Source organism: Homo sapiens, chromosome 2, assembly GCF_000001405.40.
Source record: "Homo sapiens chromosome 2, GRCh38.p14 Primary Assembly".
Lineage (NCBI taxonomy): Eukaryota > Metazoa > Chordata > Mammalia > Primates > Hominidae > Homo > Homo sapiens.
This window is the reverse complement of record NC_000002.12, coordinates 201034002-201058935: the sequence shown is the minus strand read 5'-3', so window position 1 is coordinate 201058935 and position 24934 is coordinate 201034002. Positions and strand designations below refer to the sequence as shown.

At 40.6% G+C, this 24934-nt stretch overlaps 1 protein-coding gene across 20 annotated transcripts in view, besides 2 other annotated features; it reads left to right on the top strand.

Moving 5' to 3' along the window:
- HYCC2 (hyccin PI4KA lipid kinase complex subunit 2) overlaps positions 1-24934 on the top strand; it is a 97954-nt gene that overhangs the window by 12736 nt on the left and 60284 nt on the right. For 10 of the 20 annotated variants that reach the window (NM_173822.5, NM_001321623.1, NM_001321629.1 and 7 more), the window contains one exon: positions 13343-13440. The exons of 5 other annotated variants lie outside the window; for them this stretch is intronic. The gene's annotated coding sequence lies outside the window, so the exon portion shown is untranslated. Of the gene's footprint in view, positions 1-4097; positions 5949-6666; positions 6764-8326; positions 9038-13342; positions 13441-24934 lie in introns of those variants that run through there. 5 more of the 20 variants (XM_047444003.1, XM_047444002.1, XM_047444004.1 and 2 more) reach the window with 3 other exon arrangements.
- Positions 15244-15756: an enhancer, noted in NCBI's record as "NANOG-H3K27ac hESC enhancer chr2:201907903-201908415 (GRCh37/hg19 assembly coordinates)". NCBI's record gives its function as "activates a minimal SCP1, AML or CMV promoter by ChIP-STARR-seq in naive H9 embryonic stem cells {active_cell/tissue: H9 hESC(naive)}" and the evidence as "EXISTENCE:reporter gene assay evidence [ECO:0000049][PMID:30033119]".
- Positions 15757-16268: an enhancer, noted in NCBI's record as "NANOG-H3K27ac hESC enhancer chr2:201907391-201907902 (GRCh37/hg19 assembly coordinates)". NCBI's record gives its function as "activates a minimal SCP1, AML or CMV promoter by ChIP-STARR-seq in naive H9 embryonic stem cells {active_cell/tissue: H9 hESC(naive)}" and the evidence as "EXISTENCE:reporter gene assay evidence [ECO:0000049][PMID:30033119]".

Below are 24934 nucleotides of genomic sequence, written 5' to 3'. Positions count from 1 at the left end.
CATCCACCACATTAGGAAAGGCAGTCTGCTTTACTCAGTCTATAGATTTAAATGTTAATCTCATATGGAAACACCCAGAAAAATGTTTAGCTAAATATATGGAGATGAGATTGGAAACATTTTTATCCAGGGTAGAATGGAAGCTCTCTGACCAGAGAAAAGTGTCATGACATAGTGATAAGAAACAAATGTAATTCGATATGAAAATTTCTGTGATTTCTTTTTTTTTCTTGAGATGGGGTCTGGCCCTGTTTCCCAGGCTGGAGGCCAATGGTGCAATCTTGGATTACTGCAACCTCCACCTCCCAGGTTCAGGTGATTCTCATGCTTCACCTTCCTGGGTAGCTGGGACTACAGGCATGCGCCACGATGCCTGGCTAATTTTGTATTTTTAGTAGAGACGGGGTTTCACCATGTTGGCCAGGCTGGTCTCCTGACCTCAAGCGATCCACCCGCCTTGGCTTCCCAAAGTGCTGGGATTACAGGCGTGAGCCGCTGTGCTGGGCCTAATACCTGTGATTTCTATTGGTGACCAAATCACAAAAATATTATGGCTGGTTGTTTTATTGTTTTGCCTATACTCACAATCTAATGACATTATAAATGTTAGTTAGAGATTGGTAAAAAGTGATACAATTTTCTTCTTATCAAAGTTTATGAGTTTTATTATAGATCCCTGGGGGTCTGTGGACGCTATGTTGAGAACTTCTGTGTGAAGAGGAAGGAGAGGGCTTTGAATTGATGCAGGGTTGTATGCTATGGAAAAGATTCATAGAGGAGGCAACTGTTGGTCTGAGTGTTGGAAGAAGGGGAGGGTAGTTAGGATAGAGGGTAGTTGAAAGGCATTCCAGAGAGGAATGTAGCATAAGAAAATGTGTGAGGTGTGAGACAGCCTGGCATATTGTGAAATTGTAGATCAGCATTGGTGAGGGGAAGTCTGTGTTGAGCCAGGGTATAATTTCTATTCTTGCTGACAAGACCATTTTGTTCACGTGCCTGTTGAGCAAATACTGGTTACAAAGGCCATTTAGCCAAACCGATAGATCCATATCTTTGGTCTCTTCAGGTATAGTGAACAACGAGATACTGTTTGAAGTTTTGCCTACTGGGAGTTCCCTTTCTCCTGTCCTGTAGGGCTACTTCTCTGTAAGGTCAATGCCAGCAGACTGTATGCAACCATGTATAAACCAGGCCTAAGTTTTTTTTTTTCCTTCTTTCCTTTGATCTTAGGGAACTCTACAAGGCCATAGATTAAGGAAGAGTTGATTAGTAGAAGTAAGTGCCATGGGTGTCTCAGCCATTTGTTCTTCTAGCTTATTTGTGCTTTTGGAGCCTGCTCTAACCTCATTACAACCATTGTAGTCAGGATTACTTGGTTATGTAGTGGTAACAACCAACCTTCAAATAAAGGCTTAAAATTTGAAAAAGAGAGATTTGTTTCCTCTCATGTAAAATCTGGTGCAAGCTGGGTGATTCCAGGCAGCTGTTCTTCATTTGATGGGTCAGCATTGCATATCTATATTTATCTCTGCTTCTATTATCATAGTGACGAGAAGAACAGGCTGGAGAATTGCATACTGGCACATAAATGTTTCTACAGAAATGATTTCTGCTCTTTGGTCAAAGAAAGTCATAAGGTCACATTTGACTTAAAGAGGATAGACAAATATAGTCCTCCCTTGTTCCCTTGAAAGTTCATATCTGACACACTATCACTTCCATTTCATCATGGAATGCTGCCAGCACATATAGCTTTATGGCTTGGAGGATCGGAACACTCACTTCTTGAAAGTATGTCAGGTCACATGGTCAGTCTCTGCTGGTGCTCAAAAGCCAAGCAAGGAGCTATTTCTCAAAAGAAGAGCAATCATCTGCAGAGAGGGCATAGCTCTCTTCAGAAGCAGTAGTTCTCATGCAGGGGCACACTTGACAATGTTTAGAGACATTTTGTTGGTCCAATTCAGGGCATTGCTATTGGCATGTAATAGGAAGAGGGCAGGGATGCTGCTAAACATCCTACCATGTAAAAGACAGCCTTTCACAATGTCAAGGGTGACCAAAATGCCAATAGTGCCAAGGTTAAGAAATCCTGCTTTAGATGGACTTAAGTGCCTGGTGGTCTGTGTTGTGATTCTTCTAGCAGGGCCTACTGGTAGCTTTATACAGCTACTTTATCATCTACCACAGACGCTTTGAATACCACCGAATTTGCTGGATATTAAGGCCCAAATGGCAGAGCATCTTTTTTTTTTTTTTTTTTTGAGATGGAGTTTCACTCTTGTTACCCAGGCTGGAGTGCAATGGCATGATCTTTGCTCACCGCAACCTCCGCCTCCCGGGTTCAAGCAATTCTCCTGCCTCAGCCTCCGGAGTAGCTGGGATTATAGGCATGCACCACCACGCCTGGCTAATTTTGTATTTTTAGTAGAGATGGGGTTTCTTCATGTTGGTCAGGCTGGTCTCGAACTCCCAACCTCAGGTGATCCGTCTGCCTCAGCCTCGCAAAGTGCTAGGATTACAGGCGTAAGCCACTGCGCCCGGCTGGCAGAGCATCTTATACTGCTACCTTGACCTCTTGCCTTCTCATGTCCTAGGCCCCATTTAAAACTGGCAGCTATTAATGAATTATTCAGGAAATGGGCAGAGCATCACACTAAATATGGTTTATGTTATTTCTAGAATTTAAAGAGTTCCACTGTGCACAGTGCTTCATTTTATTTTATTTTATTTATTTTTTTTTTTGAGACGGAGTCTCGCACTCTTGCCCAGGTTGGAGTGCAGTGGCGCCATCTCGGCTCACTGCAAGCTCCACCTCCCAGGTTCATGCCATTCTCCTGCCTCAGCCTCCTGAGTAGCTGGGACTACAGGCTACAGGCGCCTGCCACCACCCCGGCTAATTTTTTGTATTTTTAGTAGAGACGGGGTTTCACCGTGTTAGCCAGGATGGTCTCGATCTCCTGACCTTGTGATCCACCCGCCTCGGCCTCCCAAAGTGCTGGGATTACAGGTGTGAGCCACCGTGCCCAGCTATTTTTATTTTAGAGATAGGGTCTTTCTATGTTGCCCAAGCTGGTCTTGAACTACTGGCCTCAAATGATCCTCCCACATCAGCCACCCGAGTAGCTAGGATTACAGGCATAAGCCACTGCTCCCAGCATTGTGCTTCTTTCTAAGTGGTGGTGGCAGGCTGAGCTATGATAACTTGTCCTTCATTTTTATTTTTATGTTTTTATTTTTAGAGACAGGGTTTCACTCTGTCACCCATGCTGGGGTGCAGTGGCATGATTGTAGCTCAATGTAACCTCAAACTCTGGGCTTAAGTGATCCTCTCACCTCAGTCCCTGGAGTAGCTGGAACTATAGGTGCTCACTACCATGGCCTGTTAATTTTTGTATTTTTTATTGAGACAGGGTTTTGCCATGTTGCCCAGGCTGGTCTCAAACTCCTGGGCTCAAATGATTTGGCTTCCTCGGCCTCCCAAAGTGCTGGGATTACAGGTGTGAGCCCCTACGCCTAGCCTAGAATTTTAGTGTTTGTTTTTTTTTTTTTTTTCGAGATGGAATTTCGCTCTTGTTGCCCAGGCTGTAGTGCAATGGTGCGATCTCGGCTCACCGTGAGTTTTAGTTTTACAAGATGAAAAGAGTATGGTGATGGTTGGACAACATTATGAATGTATTTAATACTACTGAAATGTACATTAAAAATGGTTAAGATGGTAAATTTTTTTACCACAATAAAAAAAATTGAGGAAAAAACACAAAAGAAAAAAAGATGCCAATATTTCAAATATTTTTGCCTTTAGGAAGAACTTATTATGAACTGTGTCAGTTAACTAAGTAAGGAATACTTTTAGAGGTTAAAAATGCCACGAAATCCAGACACTGCATTTCTTGACTCAACTCTTTGAATACCAACCGCTTTAAACATTTATTTATTCAGTATTTGAAAGGTTTATTCTAAAATTCAACATAGGCTAGGTACAGTGGCTCATGCCTGTAATCCCAGCACTTTGGGAGGCCAAGTCAGGAGGATTGCTTGATGCCCAGAGTTTAAGACCAGCCTGGGCAACACAGCAAGAACTCATCTCTGAAAATTAAAATTAAAAAAATTCGACATGTTTTCTTGGAATTTATTTTTGACTTTAATTTTGTGCCTACATACCTAAATAGGTTATATATCCAATATGTTTTTAGGTTCTTTGGTGTTGGATACTACTTTTTATGGGGGAAAATTTTTTTTTTACTTGAAATACAAGGAATGGATCCTTTCCTCCCTCCACCCCTATGTCACTAAATGGGAGTAAATTGTACTTAAGATATGCCCAAGCTTTAGCACCCAGAATGTAGTCTTTAAAATATTATTTCCTACTAAAAGGGGTTCCTTGGAGAAATGTCTGGTTCTAGGCCTAAGGCAGGATTTGTAGAAGGTAAGTCTGGAACTTCTTGTCCTAGCAGGAAGCTAGGAGGTTATCTTCATTTACTAGGTTTATGTCAAAAGGGCTTAGGAGCTTTGTAGAGGGTCCCTCAAGACCATTCCCACATTTCATGATTTCCAAGATTGACTCTCAGGACTCAAGTCATTTTATTCACAGTTATAGTTTATTGCAATGAGATGATACAAGGCAAAATCAGCAAAGCGAAAGGCATATGGAATGAAGTCTGGAAGAAACCAAGCTCAAGCTTGCAAGAATCCTCTCCCAGTAGAATTGGAAAAGATGCCATTAATTCTCCAGTAATGAGTTGTGTGCACAGCCTCAGATTAGCCCCTAATGAGATTTTAAGGGCTTCTCCGATTATTCCTGAGCATGCGTATAGCACTGGGTACACATCCCTTTGCATAAATATGACCTTCTGGATTCCCAGGAAGTTGTTGGAGCTTTTCAGAGTCTTTTATGGACATCTCATTCCCCAGCTTTTCTTTTCTGGGTTTTTTGTTTGTTTGTTTTTGAGGTAAGGTTTGTTTGTTTGTTTTTGAGATGGAGTCTCGCTCTGTCATCCAGGATCAAGTACAGTGGTGCAATCTCAGCTCACTGCAACCTCTGCCTCCTGGGTTCAAACGATTCTCCTACTTCAGCCTCCCAAGTAGCTGGGATTACAGGTGCTCGCCACCATGCCCGGCGAATTTTTTGTATTTTTAGTAGAGACAGGGTTTCACCATGTTAGCCAGGATGGTCTTGATCTCCTGACCTCGTGATCCACCCGCCTCAGCCTCCCAAAGTGCTGGGATTACAGGTGTGAGCCACCACGCCCGGCTTGGGCAGTTCTTTTTCTGATCTTCCCTGAGATTACTCATGTCATTTGATTGGGACTGTTATTTAAGATGGCTTCACTCACACATTTGTTGGGTAGTGCTGGCTGTTGGCTGGCCTATGTCTATTCATTAGGCTAGCTTTGGCTTCTTCACATGGCTGCTAGATTTTAAAAGTAGAAAGAAGGGCAAGCTCCAGTATGCAAGCACTTTTCAAACCTTTGCATTACGTGGGATAGTTTCGCATTCCTATAAATGTTTTTGAGCTCTGCTCTGGGATGCAGTTACATTTATTTGAAAATAGTTCCAGATTTTGATTTTACAGATCACCTGAGTTCAGGAGTTCGAGACCAGCCTGGCCAATATGGTGAAACCCCGCTTCTACTAAAAATACAAAAATTAGCTGGGCGTGGTGGTGGGCACCTATAATCCCAGCTACTTGAGAGGCCGAGGCTGGAGAATCACTTGAACCCAGGAGGCGGAGGTTGCAGTGACTGGAGATTGCGCCATTGTGCTCCAGCCTGGTTGACAAGAGCGAAATTCCGTCTCAAAAAAAAAAAAATTTTAAGATTTAATAGATAGTACTGGATCTGTGTTCACTGTAGGGGTAGTAAGTCCCCATTACTTAGGAAGAACTCTTATGTGTACTTGACCCCATCCTCAATGGAATTGGTGAGAAGCGGCACTATTTCTGGCCCTGTGTAAGTTCTGGACACTGCTACCTCTAATCTTTCTGGTGCTTCTTTTCCTGGCTTCTGGTAGTTTCCTCACACACACAGTGTGCTGATCAGTTTTCGTTTGACTACTAGAGAGGGATCCTTTGCAGATCTTCAGAGTTCGTTTTCAGTACAGCTCTCCACATTACGCTGTCCTCTAACACTTTGGTCTACCTGTACTCTTAGCTCTGCCTCCTTAACTCAGAGAGTCTACCAGGTTTCACTTGCCTTTCTCTTCCTTACCCTGCAGCCTGGAAAGTCTTGAGGAAGGAAGTTGAGGCAACTTCATTGTTCTTTACTGTCTGTGCCCAGTGTAATGAAAACTGTGTTTCATGTACTTTCTTTCTTTCTTTTTTCTTTTTCTTTTGAGACAGAGTCTCACTCTTGTCTAGGCTGCAGTGCAGTGGCACAGTCACGGCTCACTGCAGCCTCAACCTCCCAGGTTCAAGTGATCTTCCCACCTCAGCCTCCTGAGTAGCTGGGACTACAGGCTTGTGCCACCATGCCCGGCTAATTTTTAAAATTTTTTTTGCAGAGACGAGGTCTCACGGTGTTGGCCAAGGTGGTCTCAAACTCTTGGGCTCAAGCAGTCCTCCTGCCTTGGCCTCCCAGAGTGCTGGGATAACAAGCGTGAGCCACTGTGACCTGCCTTTGTTTCATATTTTCTTCCGTGTTTTTTTCTTCCCCCCCTCCTGTTGCCCAGGCTGGAGTGCAGTGGCGTGATCTCGGCTCACTGCAGCCTCGCCTCCTGGGCTCAAGTGATTCTCCTGCCTCTGCCTCCTGAATAGCTGGCACTACAGGTGCGTACCACTGCACTGGGCTAGTTTTTGTATTTTTAATAGGGATGGGGTTTCACTATGTCGCACAAGTTAGCCTCGAACTCCTGAGTTCAAGTGGTCCACCCGCCTTGCCCTCCAAAAGTGCTAGGATTACAGGCATGAGCCACCACATCGGGCCCTCTTCCATGTCTTAAATTCAGGCAAGAAGGTAAATTCACTTTCTGTCACTCCATCTTGTTGAGAAATAGAAGGCCCTTCTCTCCTCACACTTTTCTCCTTCCTTAGTATTAGGCTCATGATTGAGGATTGGGGTGTTCTCTATGGTCTTGGTACAATCTCAGTTTTGGGCTGGTTTTTGTGCCAGGACCTTACAGTTTTCCTGCCCCCACCCCACACAATGACAGATTAGGCAATACATATGCTTAATACCAAGGTAGTGATTAATTGAGGGAGAACTGACATCTTTATGAGTCTTCCCAACTCATGAACATGGTATATCCTCCGCTTTATTTACACCATCTTTATTTTCTCTCGAAAATGTTTTCTTGTTTTCATTGTAGAGGTCTTATACATCTTTTGTTAGATTTATTTCTAGTCTTATTTTTTAATGCTGTTGTAAGATGCATTTTTAAAAATTTGTGGCTGGTTTATAGAAACAATTGATTTTTTGTATATTAACCTTATATTCAGAAACTTAGATAAATTCACTTATTTTAATAATCTATAGAGTCTTTTGGGTTTTCTTGGTGTATAATTATATCATCTGTGAGTAATAGCATTTCTTCCTTTCCAGTCCTTATTCTTTTTGTTTTTCTTGCTTTACTGTACTAGCTAGGCCTTCCAGTACAATGTTGAATAGAAGTGGTGATAATGGTCATCTCTGTCTTGTTTTCAACCTCAGAGGGTAAAGTTTTCAATATTTTACCATTGTGATACTTGCTATAGGCTTTTTACGGATATTCTTTATGAATTTTTCAATAGGTTATATCATAACTGAATATTGAATGTGTCATGCTTTTCCTGTACCTATTTGGATGATCACATGAATTTTCTCCTGAACTGCCGTTATATGCCTGGAGTAAATTCCTTTTTATATATGGTATTCTTTATATATAGTACTAGATTTAATTTGCTAATTCATTGATATTTTTGCCTCTGTGTTCATAAGAGAAATTAGTGTGTGATTTTCCTTCCTTGTAATGTCTGTGTTAATTTTTGTTATAGCTATACTGGGTTTGTTTGTTTGTTTGTTTGTTTTGAGACGGAGTCTTGCTCTGTCCCCCCAGGCTGGAGTGCAGTGGTGCGATCTCAGCTCACTGCAACCTCCGCCTCCTGGGTTCAAGCGATTCTCCTGCCTCAGCCTCCCAAACAGCTGGGATTACAGGCACCCACCACCACACCTGGCTAATTTTTATATTTTTAGTAGAGACGGGGTTTCACCATGTTTGGCCAGGCTGGTCTCGAACTCCTGACCTTAAGTGATCTGCCTGCCTCAGCCTCCCAAAGTACTGGGATTATAGACATGAGCCACTGTGTCTGGCTATTATAATGGTTCTTAAAAATAGGAAGTCTTTATTCCTTTTTTTTTTTTTTTCTTTTTTTGAGACAGGGTCTTGCTGTGTCACCCAGGCTGGAGTGCAGTGGCGTGATCTCGGCCCACTGTAACCTCTGCCTACTGGGTTCAAGAGATTCTCCCTCCTCAGCATATTTATTATTTTCTGTTCTCTGGAAGACTTTAATAAGCTTGGTGTGGTTTCTCCCGTAATTGAAAGAATTCACTAGTGAAACCATCTTTACTTGAGATTTTCTTTAAGGAAAGATTTTTAATAATACATTCCATTTCTTTATTTGCTTTGGGGCTATTTGGATATTCTGTTTCTTTCAGCATTAGTAATTTAATTTATATTTTTTAAGAAATGTGTCCGTTTTATACTGACATGGTTTTTTTTGTTTGTTTTGGGGGGAATTTTTTTTTTTTTTGAGACAGGGTGTCACTCTGTTGCCCAGGCTAGAGTGTTGTGGCACAGTTATGGCTCACTACAGCCTTAAACTCGTGGGCTCAAGCAATCCTCCCACCTCACAGGCTCTTGAGTAGCTGGGACCACAGGTGTGTGTCACCACACCCAGCTTATTTTTTTTATTTTTTGTAGAGATTTCTTCTTTGACCTATAGATAATTTAGGAATGTAGTTTTAGGCCAGGTGCAGTGGCTCACGCCTGTAATCCCAGCACTTTGGCAGGCTGAGGCAGGAGGATTGCCTGAGCCCAGGAGTTCAAGACCTGCCTGGGCAATATGGTGAGACGCTATCTCTATTTAATTTTAAATTTAAAAAATAAAAAAGAAATGTAATTTTAATTTTCCAGGTAGTTGGTGTTTTTCTAGGTTTTTCTTTATTATTTTTGTTATTGTTGTTAATGATTTGTAGCTTATTTTTGTTGTGGTTAGAAACCATACTTTGCATGCCATCATCTTTTTTGAAGTATGTTGAAACTTCTCTTGTGGCTGACTATGCAGGGAGTCTTTGAAAAGAATTCAAATTTTTGCCAGGTGCGGTGGCTTACGCCTGTAATCTCAGCACTTTGGAAGGCCAAGGCGGGTGGATCACGAGGTCAGAGGATCGAGACCACCCTGGCCAACGTGGTGAAACCCCGTCTCTACTAAAAATTAAAAAAAAAAAAAAACCGGGGTGGTGGCACGCGCCTGTATTCCCAGCTACTCGGGGGGCTGAGGCAGGAGAATCTTTTGAACCCCGGGAGGCGGAGGTTGCAGTGAGCCAAGATCGCGCCAGTGCACTCCAGCCTGGGCGATAGAGCGAGACTCCGTCTCAAAAAAAAAGAAAAGAAAAAAGAAAAGAATTCAAATTGTGTAGTTGCTAGTTACAGTGTTCTGTATTAGTCATTTTGGTTGGTTGTTAATTGCACCATTCAGATCTTACTGATTTTTGGTTGCTTTTTCTGTCAATTTGCTGAGAGAGATGTGGGTCTCCAACTATTATTATGGCTTTATCTTTTTCTCCTTTTAATTCTGCAAATTTTTGCTTTATGTTTTTGTTTTCTTTTTTTTTTTTTTTAAGACAGAGTCTTACTCAGTTGCCAAGGTGGGAGTGCAGTGGTATGATCATGGCCTACTGCAGCCTTGACCTCCTGGGCTCAAGTGATCCTCCCAGCCTCCCAAGTAGCTGGGACTACAGGCACACACCACCACACCCTGGTTGTTGTTTTTTTGTTTGTTTGTTTGTTTGTTTTGTAGATAATGGGTTTCGCCATGTTGCCCAGACTGGTCTTGAACTCCTGAGCTCAAGCCTCCCAAAATGCTGTAATCATAGGCTTGAGCCGCCATGCCCTGCTGCTTTATGTATTTTGAGGTTACTGGGTACATATAAGTTTATGATTGTGGTACCTTCCTGTTGGATTGATCCCTTCATTAATATTACTTTAATCTCTAATAATCATCCTTGCCATAAATTCTAAATCTTTCTCTGAAATTAGTGTGTCTTTTTTAAGGACTGTGCTTCTTGTTTAATCCAGTCTGACAAAATTCGTCTTTTACTAGAAGAATTTTTTCTACATCGGGGTATCTACTCTTTTGGCTTCCCTGGGTCATACTGGAAGCAGAAGAATTGTCTTGGGCCATACATAAAATACACTAACACGAATGATAGCTGATGAGCTTAAAAAAAAAAAAAAATTGCAAAAAAAATTGCAAAAAAAAAATCTCATCATGTTTTAAGAAAGTTTACAAATTTGTGTCGGGCCATATTCAAAGCCCTCCCTGGGCTGTGAGTTGGACAAGCTTGGTCTATATACTGTAATATAATTATTAATATAGTTGGGTTTATATGTATAATCTTACTGTCATTTGCTATTTGTCCCATCTGGTTTTTTTTCCTATTTCTTGCCTGCTTTTAGATTAAATATTATATTTTCCTTCTAACTTGTTTGATATATGTATATAATTTTGTTGTAATGGTTATCCTAGAAATTACAACTTCCTTCTTTAACTTTTTACAGTATAATACAAACTATTACTATTACTAGTGTCACACAACTGCTAAAATCTTAGAACCTTTAAACCTTATAAGGCATTTCAGTTACTGTTTTGAACTGTCACTATTAACATTTCCTTATACTGTTTACCCCGATATATATATTTTTTATGCCCCAGAACTGAGCGGATGATATTGTTTATTTCTTCCTACATTTCCATGTTTATGATTTAGGATAATTTCCTTCTGTCTGAATAATTCCTTTTAAGTTTCTTTTAGTACAGGCTTGAAGGTGAGATTTTTTTTTTTTTTTTTTTTGCAAATTTTAAAATTTCACCTTTATTTTTGAAGGATAGTTTTGCTGGGCATAGTATTCTAGATTAGCAGTTATTTTCTCTTTGGCCCTTTAACAGTGTTATTCTATTATATTTTGGCTTCTGTTGTTTCTGTTGAGAAATTTGTGAGTCTTACTGTTTTTTGAAGAGCAACTCTTTTTTTTTTCCTATGGCTGCTTTTTTATGATTTTTTTCTCCATCCTTACTTCTTCCCTTCCTTCTCTAGTTTACGGCATCCTGGGTAGAATTTTCTTTTAATATGTCCTGCTTGGTGTTGGCAGAGCGTTCTGAATTTCTAGATTGATTTCTGTCATCAGTTTTTGAAAACTCCCAGTTATTCTTTCTTAGAATATTGCATTTATCAATTTATCTACTTTTCTAGGACTTCTGTTTTATATGTGTGTGTGTATATATATATATATATATATGAGAACTGTGACACACACACACACATTAGACATTGTGAGTGTGCATCACATTTCTCTTAAACCTCTCCCTCTCCTCCTTTCACTACTTTCCCTTTCCCCTTCCTCTCTCTTCCATTCTTTTCCCTTTATGCTTCAGTTTGGGTATTTTTTTATTGATTTGTCTTCTAGTTTACTCATCCTGTATTCTGCTGTGTCTCATTTGCTCTAAGACCAATATATTAAATTCTTCAGATTATGAGACTGATGTGCTGCCGGCTGCACTGAGAGGGCTCTATATTGAGTTCTTAATTTCACATATTGTATTTTTCGGTTCTAGAGTGCTTATTTAATTATTTTTGTAGTTCCTAATCCATTAGTGAAATGTTGCATCTTCAGCAGTTTTGTACATTTCCCCTTCTATTTTCTATTAATCAGGATTACTTTAAATAATTGTCCTTGTGTGTTAACTTCATTTTACAATTATCTGTGAGTCTGATTCTCTTGTCTAGTTTTCTCTTAATTATTGGTCACTTTTTTTATCCCTTTGTATTTTTAGTAATTTTTAAATTGTGTGCCAGACTTTGTATATGAAAGAACCATAGAGGTGCTATGCAGTGTTCCCAGTAGGGATCACATTTTTCTCTGTTGCACAAATTGGTAAGGACCTAATTACCTTCAACCAGACAGGGATTGAGCTATTTTAGGGTTGTCTTAAAGTTTAATAAACTCATTGTTCTTGTCATTTGGCCTTTTTCTTTGTCACTTTTTAAACTGAGAGTCTACTGAGTATCTATCTCCTTGGCCCTGAAGTCTGTGGGAGATTTGTCTCTGTAGAGATTCCCCACATAGCCATTCTGCCTATAGACTGCTTCAAAAATTTGGCAGTCATCTTGGTGGTTGTGGTTCAAAATTCCCAAGGTACAAAAAGAGAGTCTTTCCCACCCTATTTCCATGATATCAAGTGCCCCTTCTCAAAGTACTACCAGTCTCTTTTGTGTCTTTCCAGAGATACTCCCTTAGCCCTTTTCAAGTTCTTCCCCCCCACTGCAGAACCTTCTCATAAAACAAAACTCACATGTGAAAGCCCAGTGTATGAGATAAAGTGTCAGCTGCTGTGGTGGAGTAGGGGGTCCTGACACATCTTCAGTTAAAATAATTCTAAGAGAATTTTATCACAGTATTCTTTGTATCAAAGAAAGGTAGAGCATAATGTAGTCAGCAAACACATGAAAATAGTTATTACTTTCTAAGAAAAGTCTCCATTTTAGCAATTTGAAAATGATTCTGACAAAATCTTTTAATGTGTTTTTCTGCCAAAAATTCAGTAAGAGCATTTTTTGTGTTCTTTTCTAAAAAAGATAAGTTTTTCAGTTATGTGAAACCCATCCAAAATAATTTTGTAGCTTATGATACTTATTATTTAAGCTTGGTTTTATACTGCATATTACGATTTTAATGAGGGTATTTTTAAAATGATTGTGTGTTTGTGTGTCTGTGTATGAGAGAGAGAGAAAGAAAAATCACTGTAACATGTTTCAAAAGAGTCATAGAATTTTTGTCTGGAAGGGACTTAATTTTACAAATAATGCAAGTGAGGCTCCAGATAATTTAAGTAATCTACTCAAGGTCTTATAGATAATTAATGGCAAATTTGAAATTAAAATTCAGACTTTCTGTCTTCAAAATAATGCTTTTTAATTAGGTTTGATAAAGGTATACAAGTATGCTAGTTATTACAGAAATGTTTTGGATCTATAATTATTTCTTAAAATTAGATAAGCTATATTGTAAATGCCTATCAAAACTGTTCTTTGTATTACATTCTTGAGAATATTACCTCAATATTTCAGTTTTCTATTTTTATTTTTTATAGAATTGGAAAATATTTAACTCTTAACAAATGAATTCCCCACTTGAACTCTGCCGAATTCCTGTGCCACCTCCTCCTTTAGAAAACTGATCTTAATACAGGTAAAATTAAGACTTTAACTTTTTAAAGGATAAAGAATAAATTTTCTATATCATTAGACATGTTAGCATTTTTGGTAATCTTTGCTGGATAGCTTCTATTTATTGAGCAGTTTTACCTAACATAATGACATCTTAATTATTGCCTTTGAATTCTATTTTGAAAGTTTTTCCCTTTTATAAATGTGTTTTTTAAAAACCTTTCTGTTATCTAAACTTTATTGAAGAATTGAATTTACTCAGCATAATTGCATTATCCGGCTACATCTAGATCGATGCTGTCCAATAGAACTTCTTTGATGATGGCTATATTCTATATCTGTGCCGTCCAATATAGGAGACTCTAGCCACAAGTAGCTTCCTATTTTAGTCAGTGCAGCTCTGGGCTTTGCCTTAGGAAATTTGGTAATTATACTAATAGTATGTCTTAAATGCCTAAGTTTTAGACTTACACCTTGAAATATCTTCATAGTTGTTGGTCAAGTTTGAAAATTAGCAGTAGCAAAACCATCACTGGCTATTTCATATGTTGTCCTGATAATTGTATAGCTTGGTTTATCCCATAATTTTGATCCACAAGAAACCTTTGAGAGCACTTACCACAGTTAGTTTTGCTCACTGTTGTATCTTTAACATTTTACTTGGTACCTAGCATGTAATTGGTATTCACAGTGCATATTAGTTGAAAGAATGGATGAATAATCTCTGTACTATAAAGGAAAAAAATGCCTCCTAAATTGTTCAAACCATTAAATAATTATATTGATAATATTTCTATAATAATAATAGTAGCAAGCATCCATTGAAGACTTATGTTGTACAGTCACTGTTCTAAGTAAGACCTTACGTGTGTTGATTTATCAGATCTTTAAAAATAAACCTTTGTCATAGCGACATGCATTATTCTCATTTTATAAGTAAGGAATTTGAAGACAGAGATTACTTAAGTAGCTTTCCCAAGGACACATATTATTGTACTTAGAGAGCTTGGACAAAAACTGTGAGTTTTCTTCCCTGCAAGTAGTTCTTTACCTTCTTCAGATCACATTCCAGCAGCTTATTATTTTGTTCATTATGTTGTAGTTAGGGCTTGCTAATAAAGGTTGCCATTACCATCTCTGGTACAGTGGTGCACACTTGTAATCCTAGCTCTAATCCCAAGGCGGGAGGATTGCTTGGGGCCAGGAGTTCAAAACCAGCCTGGGCAATGTAGCAAGAACTCATCTCTAAATAATGGTAATACTATTAATAATAAAAAGGTCATCATTGTCATAGTTATCATAAAGATAGTCATTTTCTGTGATAGCCTCTTTGTTATACATTCTGGAACTAAGGCAGTATGGATCTGAATTAAGCTGCATGCTGGAATATCAGCTTGAGTTCTTTTAAGTATAGTTTTTACCAGGTGATGTAATATACAGTAGGAGAAATGATCTTCAGAATTTTATATTTTATGGTTAGATAAACAGAAAGGTTGCAAGTCCAGGCACTGTAGCGTATGCTGTAATCTCAGCTATTCAGGAGGCTGAGGTGGGAGGATTGTTTGAGCCCAGGAGTTCAAGACCAGCTGGGGCAAGATAGCGAGACCCCATCTCAAAAAATAAAAGATAGCTTGCAGTCTATTTGTAGCTGTGCTCTGTAGATATCTCTATGTACTAAGAGTGCTGTGCCTGGTTAGAAAATACATGTTTGGCCAGGCGCGGTGGCTCACACCTGTAATCCCAGCACTTTGGGAGGCTGAGGCGGGTGGATCACGAGGTCAGGAGATCGAGACCATCCTGGCTAGCACAGTGAATCCCTGTCTCTACTAAAAATACAAAAAATTAGCCAGGCATGGTGGCAGGCGCCTGTAGTCCCAGGTACTCGGGAGGCTGAGGCAGGAGAATGGCGTGAACCTGGGAGACGGAGCTTGCAGTGAGCTGAGATCACGCCACTGCACTCTAGCCTAGGCAACAGAGTGAGACTCTGTCTCAAAAAAAAAAAAAAGAAAAAAAGAAAATATATGTTTACAGAATTTCTCTGTAACCAGTACTATTCTATTTTTCTTTCTTTTTTTTTTTTTTTTTAGTATTTATTGATCATTCTTGGGTGTTTCTCGGAGAGGAGGATTTGGCAGGGTCATAGGACAATAGTGGAGGGAAGGTCAGCAGATAAACATGTGAACAAAGGTCTCTGGTTTTCCTAGGCAGAGGGCCCTGCCACCTTCCGCAGTGTTTGTGTCCCTGGGTAGTTGAGATTAGGGAGTGGTGATGACTCTTAAGGAGTATTCTGCCTTCAAGCATCTGTTTAACAAAGCACAACTTGCACCGCCCTTAATCCATTTAACCCTTAGTGGACACAGCTCATGTTTCAGAGAGCACGGGGTTGGGGGTAAGGTTATAGATTAACAGCATCCCAAGGCAGAAGAATTTTTCCTAGTACAGAACGAAATGGAGTCTCCTATGTCTACTTCTTTCTACACAGACACAATAACAGTCTGATCTCTCTTTTCCCCACATTTCCCCCTTTTCTATTCCACAAAACCGCCATTGTCATCATGGCCCATTCTCAATGAGCTGTTGGGTACACCTCCCAGACGGGGTGGCGGCCGGGCAGAGGGGCTCCTCACTTCCCAGACGGGGCGGCCGGGCAGAGGGGCCCCCCCACCTCCCAGACGGGGTGGCGGCCGGGCAGAGGGGCTCCCCACTTCCCAGACTGGGTGGCTGGGCAGAGGCGCCCCCCACCTCCCAGACGGGGCGGCGGGCGGGGGCTGCCCCCCACCTCCCGGACGGGGCGGCTGGCCGGGCGGGGGCTGCCCCCCAGCTCCCGGACTGGGCGGCTGCCGGGCGGAGACGCTCCTCACTTCCCGGATGGGGCGGCTGCCAGGCGGAGGGGCTCCCCCAGACGGGGCGGCTGCTGGGCGGATGGGCTCCTCACTTCTCAGACGGGGCGGCTGGTCAGAGACGCTCCTCACCTCCCAGACGGGGTGGCGGCGGGGCAGAGACACTCCTCAGTTCCCAGACGGGGTCGCGGCGGGGCAGAGGCACTCTTCACATCTCAGACGGGGCGGTGGGGCAGAGGTGCTCCCCACATCCCAGATGATGGGCGGCCGGGCAGAGACGCTCCTCACTTCCTAGATGGGGTGGCGGCCGGGCAGAGGCTGCAATCTCAGCACTTTGGGAGGCCAAGGCAGGCGGCTGGGAGGTGTAGGTTGTAGCGATCCGAGATCACGCCACTGCACTCCAGCCTGGGCAACATTGAGCATTGAGTGAGCGAGACTCCGTCTGCAATCCCGGCACCTCGGGAGGCCGAGGCTGGCAGACCACTCGCGGTCAGGAGCTGGAGACCAGCCCGGCCAACACGGCGAAACCCTGTCTCCACCAAAAAATACGAAAACCAGTCAGGTGTGGCGGCATGTGCCTGCAATCCCAGGCACTTGGCAGTCTGAGGCAGGAGAATCAGGCAGGGAGGCTGCAGTGAGCCGAGATGGCGGCAGTACAGTCCAGCCTCGGCTCGGCATCAGAGGGAGACTGTGCAAAGGGGAGAGGAGGACCGTGCAAAGGGGAGGGGGAGGGGGAGAGAGACTATTCTATTTTTCAAATGAAGGTACTAAAATATATTTTTAGGATTTTAGAGTTGGAAAATAACTAATCATTGTAGGAAACTGAAGCCCAAAGGGTTTAAATGAGTTGTCTGAGGACATATAAACAGTATGGTTCATTGACTATATATATGTTTTTTAAGTACCCGTCTTACATCCAGAAATCATAGTATCTTTGTTAGCTTTGAATGCATAGTAGTGAGCAATGCAAAAATGTACCCTGTTCTCTTGGAATTTACAATCCAGTGGGGAGATGGACAATTAGTAAGTAATGAGGTCTGATAAAGAAGTTACAAACCCCGAAGTTCTAGGCAGGAAATAAATCTTGTGTTGGAATGGAAAATACTGGGGAATGGAAGAAGAGCTGCTATTTACATAAAGTGGTTCAGAAAGGCTGCTGAGACTTACAAGATCAGAAGGAGCCAGCCACTTAAGTAGCAGGAGCAGGACAGCATTCTAGGCTGGAACAGCCTGCACAGATGTGCTGGAGTTAAGGTGCACGTAAAGCTGTAGAGAAACTCAAAGGAGAGTATGGCCAGAACATAGAAAGCTGTGGGGAGAGTAGTATGAACCATAAGACAGGGACCAGATTGCATAGTGCCTTTTTCAATCATAGATTTCAAAATTATGGCATTAGATTCAAATCTGAGTTCTGCCACTTAAACTGTGTTACCTTGTATAGGTCACACACCCATTTACACTTTAATTTTCTTATCTATTAGATGAGAATAACAAGCTACTTCATAGGACATAGTATCATGGAGATTATATAATGCTTATAGCAAACACTTATGTAATGTTTATCTTGTGATAAGAACTGTTCTAAGTATACAAAAACTATATGAAGTAGGTACCGCTATTCCCAGTTTTGAAATGAGGGACAGCGGGTTTGAGTATAGCTAGTAAGAGGGTACAAGGGTTTAAACATAGCTAGTAAGTGACCTTAACCTTAGGCAACCTTGCTCCAGGGTTTGTGATCAAAATGTGATCCTCAGGATCCTTTAAGGGGGTCCATAAGGTCAAAACTATTTTTCATATTAATATAAAGACAGTATTTGCCATCTTCACTGTCATTCTGTCATAAATATACAGTGAGGTTTTTCTGCAACAGATTGAATGCAGAAGCAATTATGAGGCTGGGCACAGTGGCTCACGCCTGTAATCACAGCGTTTTGGGAGGCTGAGGCAGGTGGATCACTTGAGGTCAGGAGTCCGAGACCAGCCTGGCCAACATGGTGAAACCCCATCTGTACTAAAAATAAAAAAATTAGCCGGATATGGTGGTGCATGCCTGTGATCCCAGCTACTCGGAGGCTGAGGCAGAATTGCTTGAATCTGGGAGGTGGAGGTTGCAGTGAGCTGAGATTTTGCCACTGCACTCCAGCCTGGGCAACAGAGACTTTGTCTCAAAAAAATGAACAAACAAAAAAAAATTATGAGATTCACAAAAAAAAAAAAACAAAAGCAATAACAACAAAATGCTATTCTCAATTTGTTTTTGTTTTAGAAGAACATAATTTTCACCTTAAAATGTTAACATGTAATAGGCTTATTTTCAAATGAATTAATAAATGAACTTTTTTAATGAAAGAAATTCTGAGGCCAAAAAAAGCTGAGAACTGCTGCTGTACACCACTACATTGTGCCACCTGTTGTTAAATCAGATAAAATATAGGAAACACCTGGTACCATGTTTATACTTAATAGGCTCGCTAGTAATTTATTTCCTCACTTTTTTTTTTTTTTTGAGACAGAGTCTCACTCTGTCGCCAGGCTAGAGTGCAGTGGCGCGGTCTCGGCTCACTGCAACCTCTGCCTCCTGGGTTCAAGCAATTCTCTGCCCCAGCCTCCCAAGTAGCTGGGATTACAGGCATCCACCACCACGCCTGGCTAATTGTTTGTATTTTTAGTAGAGACGGGGTTTCACCGTGTTGGCCAGGATGGTCTCGATCTCCTGACCTTGTGATCTGCCCACCTCGGCCTCCCAAAGTGCTGGGATTACAGGCGTGAGCCACTGTGCCCAGCCTATTTCCTCACTTTTAAGACACATTTTTTTTTCACATTTTGATATTTTTAGAAATTGAGGTGTGACTTGTCTGAAGAAACTTTTCAGCGACCAGCCAAGTAAATTGTGAAGTAGTAGTAGTCATCTATACTTGGTATTTCTAGAATTTAACTTTATGTATTCTTTTATTCAGTTAGTTGGTATTAGCGGCACCATGTGGGGTTGAAATATTAATTGGATTTGTGTCCCTAATTGTTGTTTAAAATATCTGCTGTATATCACTGTATGATACAGCTTTGAAATGAACAATTATCTCAGTAGAAGATTGCCTGACCGAAAAAAAGACAACAAAATTGCCAAATCATTCAGTCTCTTATATCAAACCTTGGCAAGGTTAGTGTTACTAATTCATGCATCTGGGACAACATCTACTTGTCAAAAATTTCTGGACGATATTTGAAGAAGGTATTTAACTTCCATTTGGTATTTAGTTTTCCAAGTAAAATTATAAAGTTTAACTTAGAAAACAGAAATCTCAGGTTTTGTTATGGCCAGAAATAACACTGTCAGTGCTGAAGGTGCTCAAAATCAACAGATGATTGGATGCCTGCTATATGCCTGTCACTTGGGATACAGTGCCTGTCCCTGTAAAGTACAGATTCCAGTAGAAAAGACAGACATTAAGTAAACAAATAACGTTAATTACAGATTATGCTAAATGCTATGAAGAAAATGGGCAGAGTAATGGGGTTGGAGGGAGGAGGAAGGTAGAGGTAGCTGATTAAAGTATATAGGGAAAGGTTCTATAAGGAGGTGATACATGAACTGAGTCTATTCCAGCCATATACAGAGCTGGGAGAGAATGCCAGGTGTCAGGTACAAAGACCAAAGGTGGCCAGAAACATAAAGGATAATTTTTAAAAAGTGGCATGTGGTTCTGTGGAAGACCTTATACGCTTGTCTTTTAGTTAAGCTTTTTTTTTTTAATCAACAATTTGCAAGTCTTTTTCTTTTTTTTAATTATACTTTAAGTTTTAGAGTACATGTGCACAACATGCAGGTTTGTTACGTATGTATACATGTGCCATGTTGGTGTACTGCACCCACTAACTCATCATTTAACATTAGGTATATCTCCTAATGCTATCCCTCCCCTCTCCCCCTACCCCACAACAGGCCCCGGTGTGTGATGTTCCCCTTCCTGTGTCGATGTGTTTTCATTGTTCCAATTCCCACCTATGAGTGAGAACATGTGGTGTTTGGTTTTTTGTCCTTGCGATAGTTTGCTGAGAATGATGGTTTCCAGCTTCTTCCATGTCCCTACAAAGGACATGAACTCATCCTTTTTTATGGCTGCATAGTATTCCATAGTGTATATGTGCCACATTTTCTTAATCTAGTCTATCATTGATGGACATTTGGGTTGGTTCCAAGTCTTTGCTGTTGTGAATAGTGCCGCAGTAAACATACATGTGAATGTGTCTTTATAGCAGCATGGTTTATATTCCTTTGGGTATATACCCAGCAATAGGATGGCTGGGTCAAATGGTATTTCTAGTTCTAGATCCCTGAGGAATCGCCACACTGACTTCCACAATGGTTGAACTAGTTTACAGTCCCACCAACAGTGTAAAAGTGTTCCTATTTCTCCACATCCTCTCCAGTACCTGTTGTTTCCTGACTTTGTAATGATCGCCATTCTAACTGGTGTAAGATGGTATCTCATTGTGGTTTTGATTTGCATTACTCTGATGGCCAGTGATGATGAGCATTTTTTCATGTGTCTTTTGGCTGCATAAATGTCTTCTTTTGAGAAGTGTCTGTTCATATTCTTTGCCCACTTTTTGATGGGGTTGTTTGTTTTTTTCTTGTAAATTTGTTTGAGTTCATTGTAGATTCTGGATATTAGCCCTTTGTCAGATGGGAAGATTGCAAAAATTTTCTCTCATTCTGTAGGTTGCCTGTTCACTCTGATGGTAGTTTCTTTTGCTGTGCAGAAGCTCTTTAGTTTAATTAGATCCCATTTGTCAATTTTGGCTTTTGTTGCCATTACTTTTGGTGTTTTAGACATGAAGTCCTTGCCCATGCCTATGTCCTGAATGGTATTGCCTAGGTTTTCTTCTAGGGTTTTTATGGTTTTAGGTCTAACATTTAAGTCTTTAATCCATCTTGAATTAATTTTTGTATAAGGTATAAGGAAGGCATCCAGATTCAGCTTTCTACTTATGGCTAGCCAGTTTTCCCAGCACCATTTATTAAATAAAGAATCCTTTCCCCATTTCTTGTTTTTGTCAGGTTTGTCAAAGATCAGATAGTTGTAGATATGTGGCATTATTTCTGAGGGCTCTGTTCTGTTCCATTGGTCTATATCTCTCTTTTGGTACCAGTACCATGCTGTTTTGGTTACTGTAGCCTTGTAGTATAGTTTGAAGTCAGGTAGTGTGATGCCTCCAGCTTTGTTCTTTTGGCTTAGGATTGACTTGGCAATGCGGGCTCTTTTTTGGTTCCATGTGAACTTTAAAGTAGTTTTTTCCAATTCTGTGAAGAAGGTCATTGGTAGCTTGATGGGGATGGCAATGAATGTATAAATTACCTTGGGCAGTATGGCCATTTTCACGATATTGATTCTTCCTACCCATGAGCATGGAATGTTCTTCCATTTTTTTATGCCCTCTTTTATTTCATTGAGCAGTGGTTTGTAGTTCTTGAAGAAGTCCTTCACATGTCTTGTAAGTTGGATTCCTAGATATTTTATTCTCTTTGAAGCAATTGTGAATGGGAGTTCACTCATGATTTGGCTCTGTTTGTCTGTTATTGGTGTATAAGAATGCTTGTGATTTTTGCACATTGATTTTGTATCCTGAGACTTTGCTGAAGTTGCTTATCAGCTTAAGGAGATTTTGGGCAGAGACGATGGGGTTTTCTAGATATACAATCATGTCATCTGCAAACAGGGACAATTTGACTTCCTCTTTTCCTAGTTGAATACCCTTTATTTCTTTCTCTTGCCTGATTGCCCTGGCCAGAACTTCCAACACTATGTTGAATAGGAGTGGTGAGAGAGGGCATCCCTATCTTGTGCCAGTTTTCAAAGGGAATGCTTCCAGTTTTTGTCCATTCAGTATGATATTGGCTGTGGGTTTGTCATAGATAGCTCTTATTATTTTGAGATATGTTCCATCAGTATCTAATTTATTGAGAGTTTTTAGCATGAAGGGTTGTTGAATTTTGTCAAAGGCCTTTTCTGCATCTATTGAGATAATCATGTGGTTTTTGTCTTTGGTTCTGTTTATATGCTGGATTACTTTTATTGATTTGCGTTTGTTGAACCAGCCTTGCATCCCAGGGATGAAGCCCACTTGATCATGGTGGATAAGCTTTTTGATGTGTTGCTGGATTCGGTTTGCCAGTATTTTATTGAGGATTTTTGCATTGATGTTCACATCAGGGATATTGGTCTAAAATTTTCTTTTTTTGTTGTGTCTCTGCCAGGCTTTGGTATCAGGATGATGCTGGCCTCATAAAATGAGTTAGGGAGGATTCCCTCTTTTTCTGTTGATTGGAATAGTTTTAGAAGGAATGGTACCAGCTCCTCCTTATACCTCTGGTAGAATTTGGCTGTGAATCCATTTAGTCCTGGACTCTTTTTGATTGGTAAGCTATTAATTATTGCCTCAATTTCAGAGCCTGTTATTGGTCAATTCAGAGATTCAGCTTCTTCCTGGTTTAGTCTTGGGAGGGTATATGTGTCCAGGAATTTATCCATTTCTTCTAGATTTTCTAGTTTGTTTGTGTAGAGGTGTTTATAATATTCTCTGATGGTAGTTTGTATTTCTGTGGGATCGGTGGTGATATCCCCTTTATCATTTTTTATTGCATCTATTTGGAGGCACCCCCCCAGTAGGGACAGACTGACACCTCACACGGCCGGGTACTCCTCTGAGACAAAACTTCCAGAGGAACGATCAGGCAGCAACATTTGCTGTTCACCAATATCCGCTGTTCTGCAGCCTCCACTGCTGATATCCAGGCAAACAGGGTCTGGAGTGGACCTCCGGCAAACTCCAACAGACCTGCAGCTGAGGGTCCTGACTATTAGAAGGAAAATTAACTAACAGAAAGGACATCCACACCAAAACCCCATCTGAACGTCACCATCATCAAAGACCAAAGGTAGATAAAACCACAAAGATGGGGAAAAAACAGAGCAGAAAAACTGAAAATTCTAAAAATCAGAGCACCTCTCCTCCTCCAAAGGAACGCAGCTCCTCACCAGCAATGGAACAAAGCTGGACGGAGAATGACTTTGATGAGTTGAGAGAAGAAGGCTTCAGACGATCAGACTACTCCGAGCTAAAGGAGGAAGTTCGAACCCGTGGCAAAGAAGTTAAAAACCTTGAAAAAAGATTAGATGAATGGCTAACTAGAATAACCAATGCAGAGAAGTCCTTAAAGGACCTGATGGAGCTGAAAACCACGGCACGAGAACGACGTGACGAATGCACAAGCCTCAGTAGCCGATTCAATCAACTGGAAGAAAGGGTATCAGTGATGGAAGATGAAATGAATGAAATGAAGCGAAAAGAGAAGTTTAGAGAAAAAAGAATAAAAAGAAACGAACAAAGCCTCCAAGAAATATGGGACTATATGAAAAGACCAAATCTACGTCTGATTGGTGTACCTGAAAGTGACGGGGAGAATGGAACCAAGTTGGAAAACACTCTGCAGGAGATTATCCAGGAGAACTTCCCCAATCTAGCAAGGCAGGCCAACATTCAAATTCAGGAAATACAGAGAACGCCACAAAGATACTCCTCAAGAGGAGCAACTCCAAGACACATAATTGTCAGATTCACCAAAGTTGAAATGAAGGAAAAAATGTGAAGGACAGCCAGAGAGAAAGGTCGGGTTGCCCACAAAGGGAAGCCCATCAGACTAACAGCGGATCTCTCAGCAGAAACTCTACAAGCCAGAAGAGAGTGGGGGCCAATATTCAACATTCTTAAAGAAAAGAATTTTCAACCCAGAATTTCATATCCAGCCAAACTAAGCTTCATAAGTGAAGGAGAAATAAAATACAGACAAGCGAATGCTGAGAGATTTTGTCACCACCAGGCCTGCCCTAAAAGAGCTCCTGAAGGAAGCAGTAAACATGGAAAGGAACAACCGGTACCAGCCACTGCAAAAACATGCCAAATTGTAAAGACCATTGAGGCTAGGAAGAAACTGCATCAACTAACGAGCAAAATAACCAGCTAACATCATAATGACAGGATCAAATTCACACATAACAATATTAACCTTAAATGTAAATGGGCTAAATCCTCCAATTAAAAGACATAGACTGGCAAATTGGATAAAGAGTCAAGACCCATCAGTGTGCTGTATTCAGGAGACCCATCTCATGTGCAGAGACACACATAGGCTCAAAATAAAGGGATGGAGGAAGATCTACCCAGCAAATGGAAAACAAAAAAAAGCAGGGGTTGCAATCCTAGTTTCTGATAAAACAGACTTTAAACCAACAAAGATCAGAAGAGACAAAGAAGGCCATTACATAATGGTAAAGGGATCAATTCAACAAGAAGAGCTAACTATCCTAAATATATATGCACCCAAAACAGAAGCACCCAGATTTAGTTAAGCTTTTTGTTTTCTTTTTCATAAAATATTATTTCATATTGTCTTTTAAAGTACTTAATAAATTACTGTCTTAAAACTAGTAGTATTTTTATAGAGTTGGGAAATATGTGTTATGATTATAATTAATACCACTATATTTCTCTATTTAAAGGTATTTCATTTTTAGTCATTTTTTTAAGTGGTATGGGTGGAAACTATAGATATTTAATGTGCTAAATTTGTGGTTATAGGAAAGATCAAATAGGAATTTAAAATAGTAATTTAGCCTG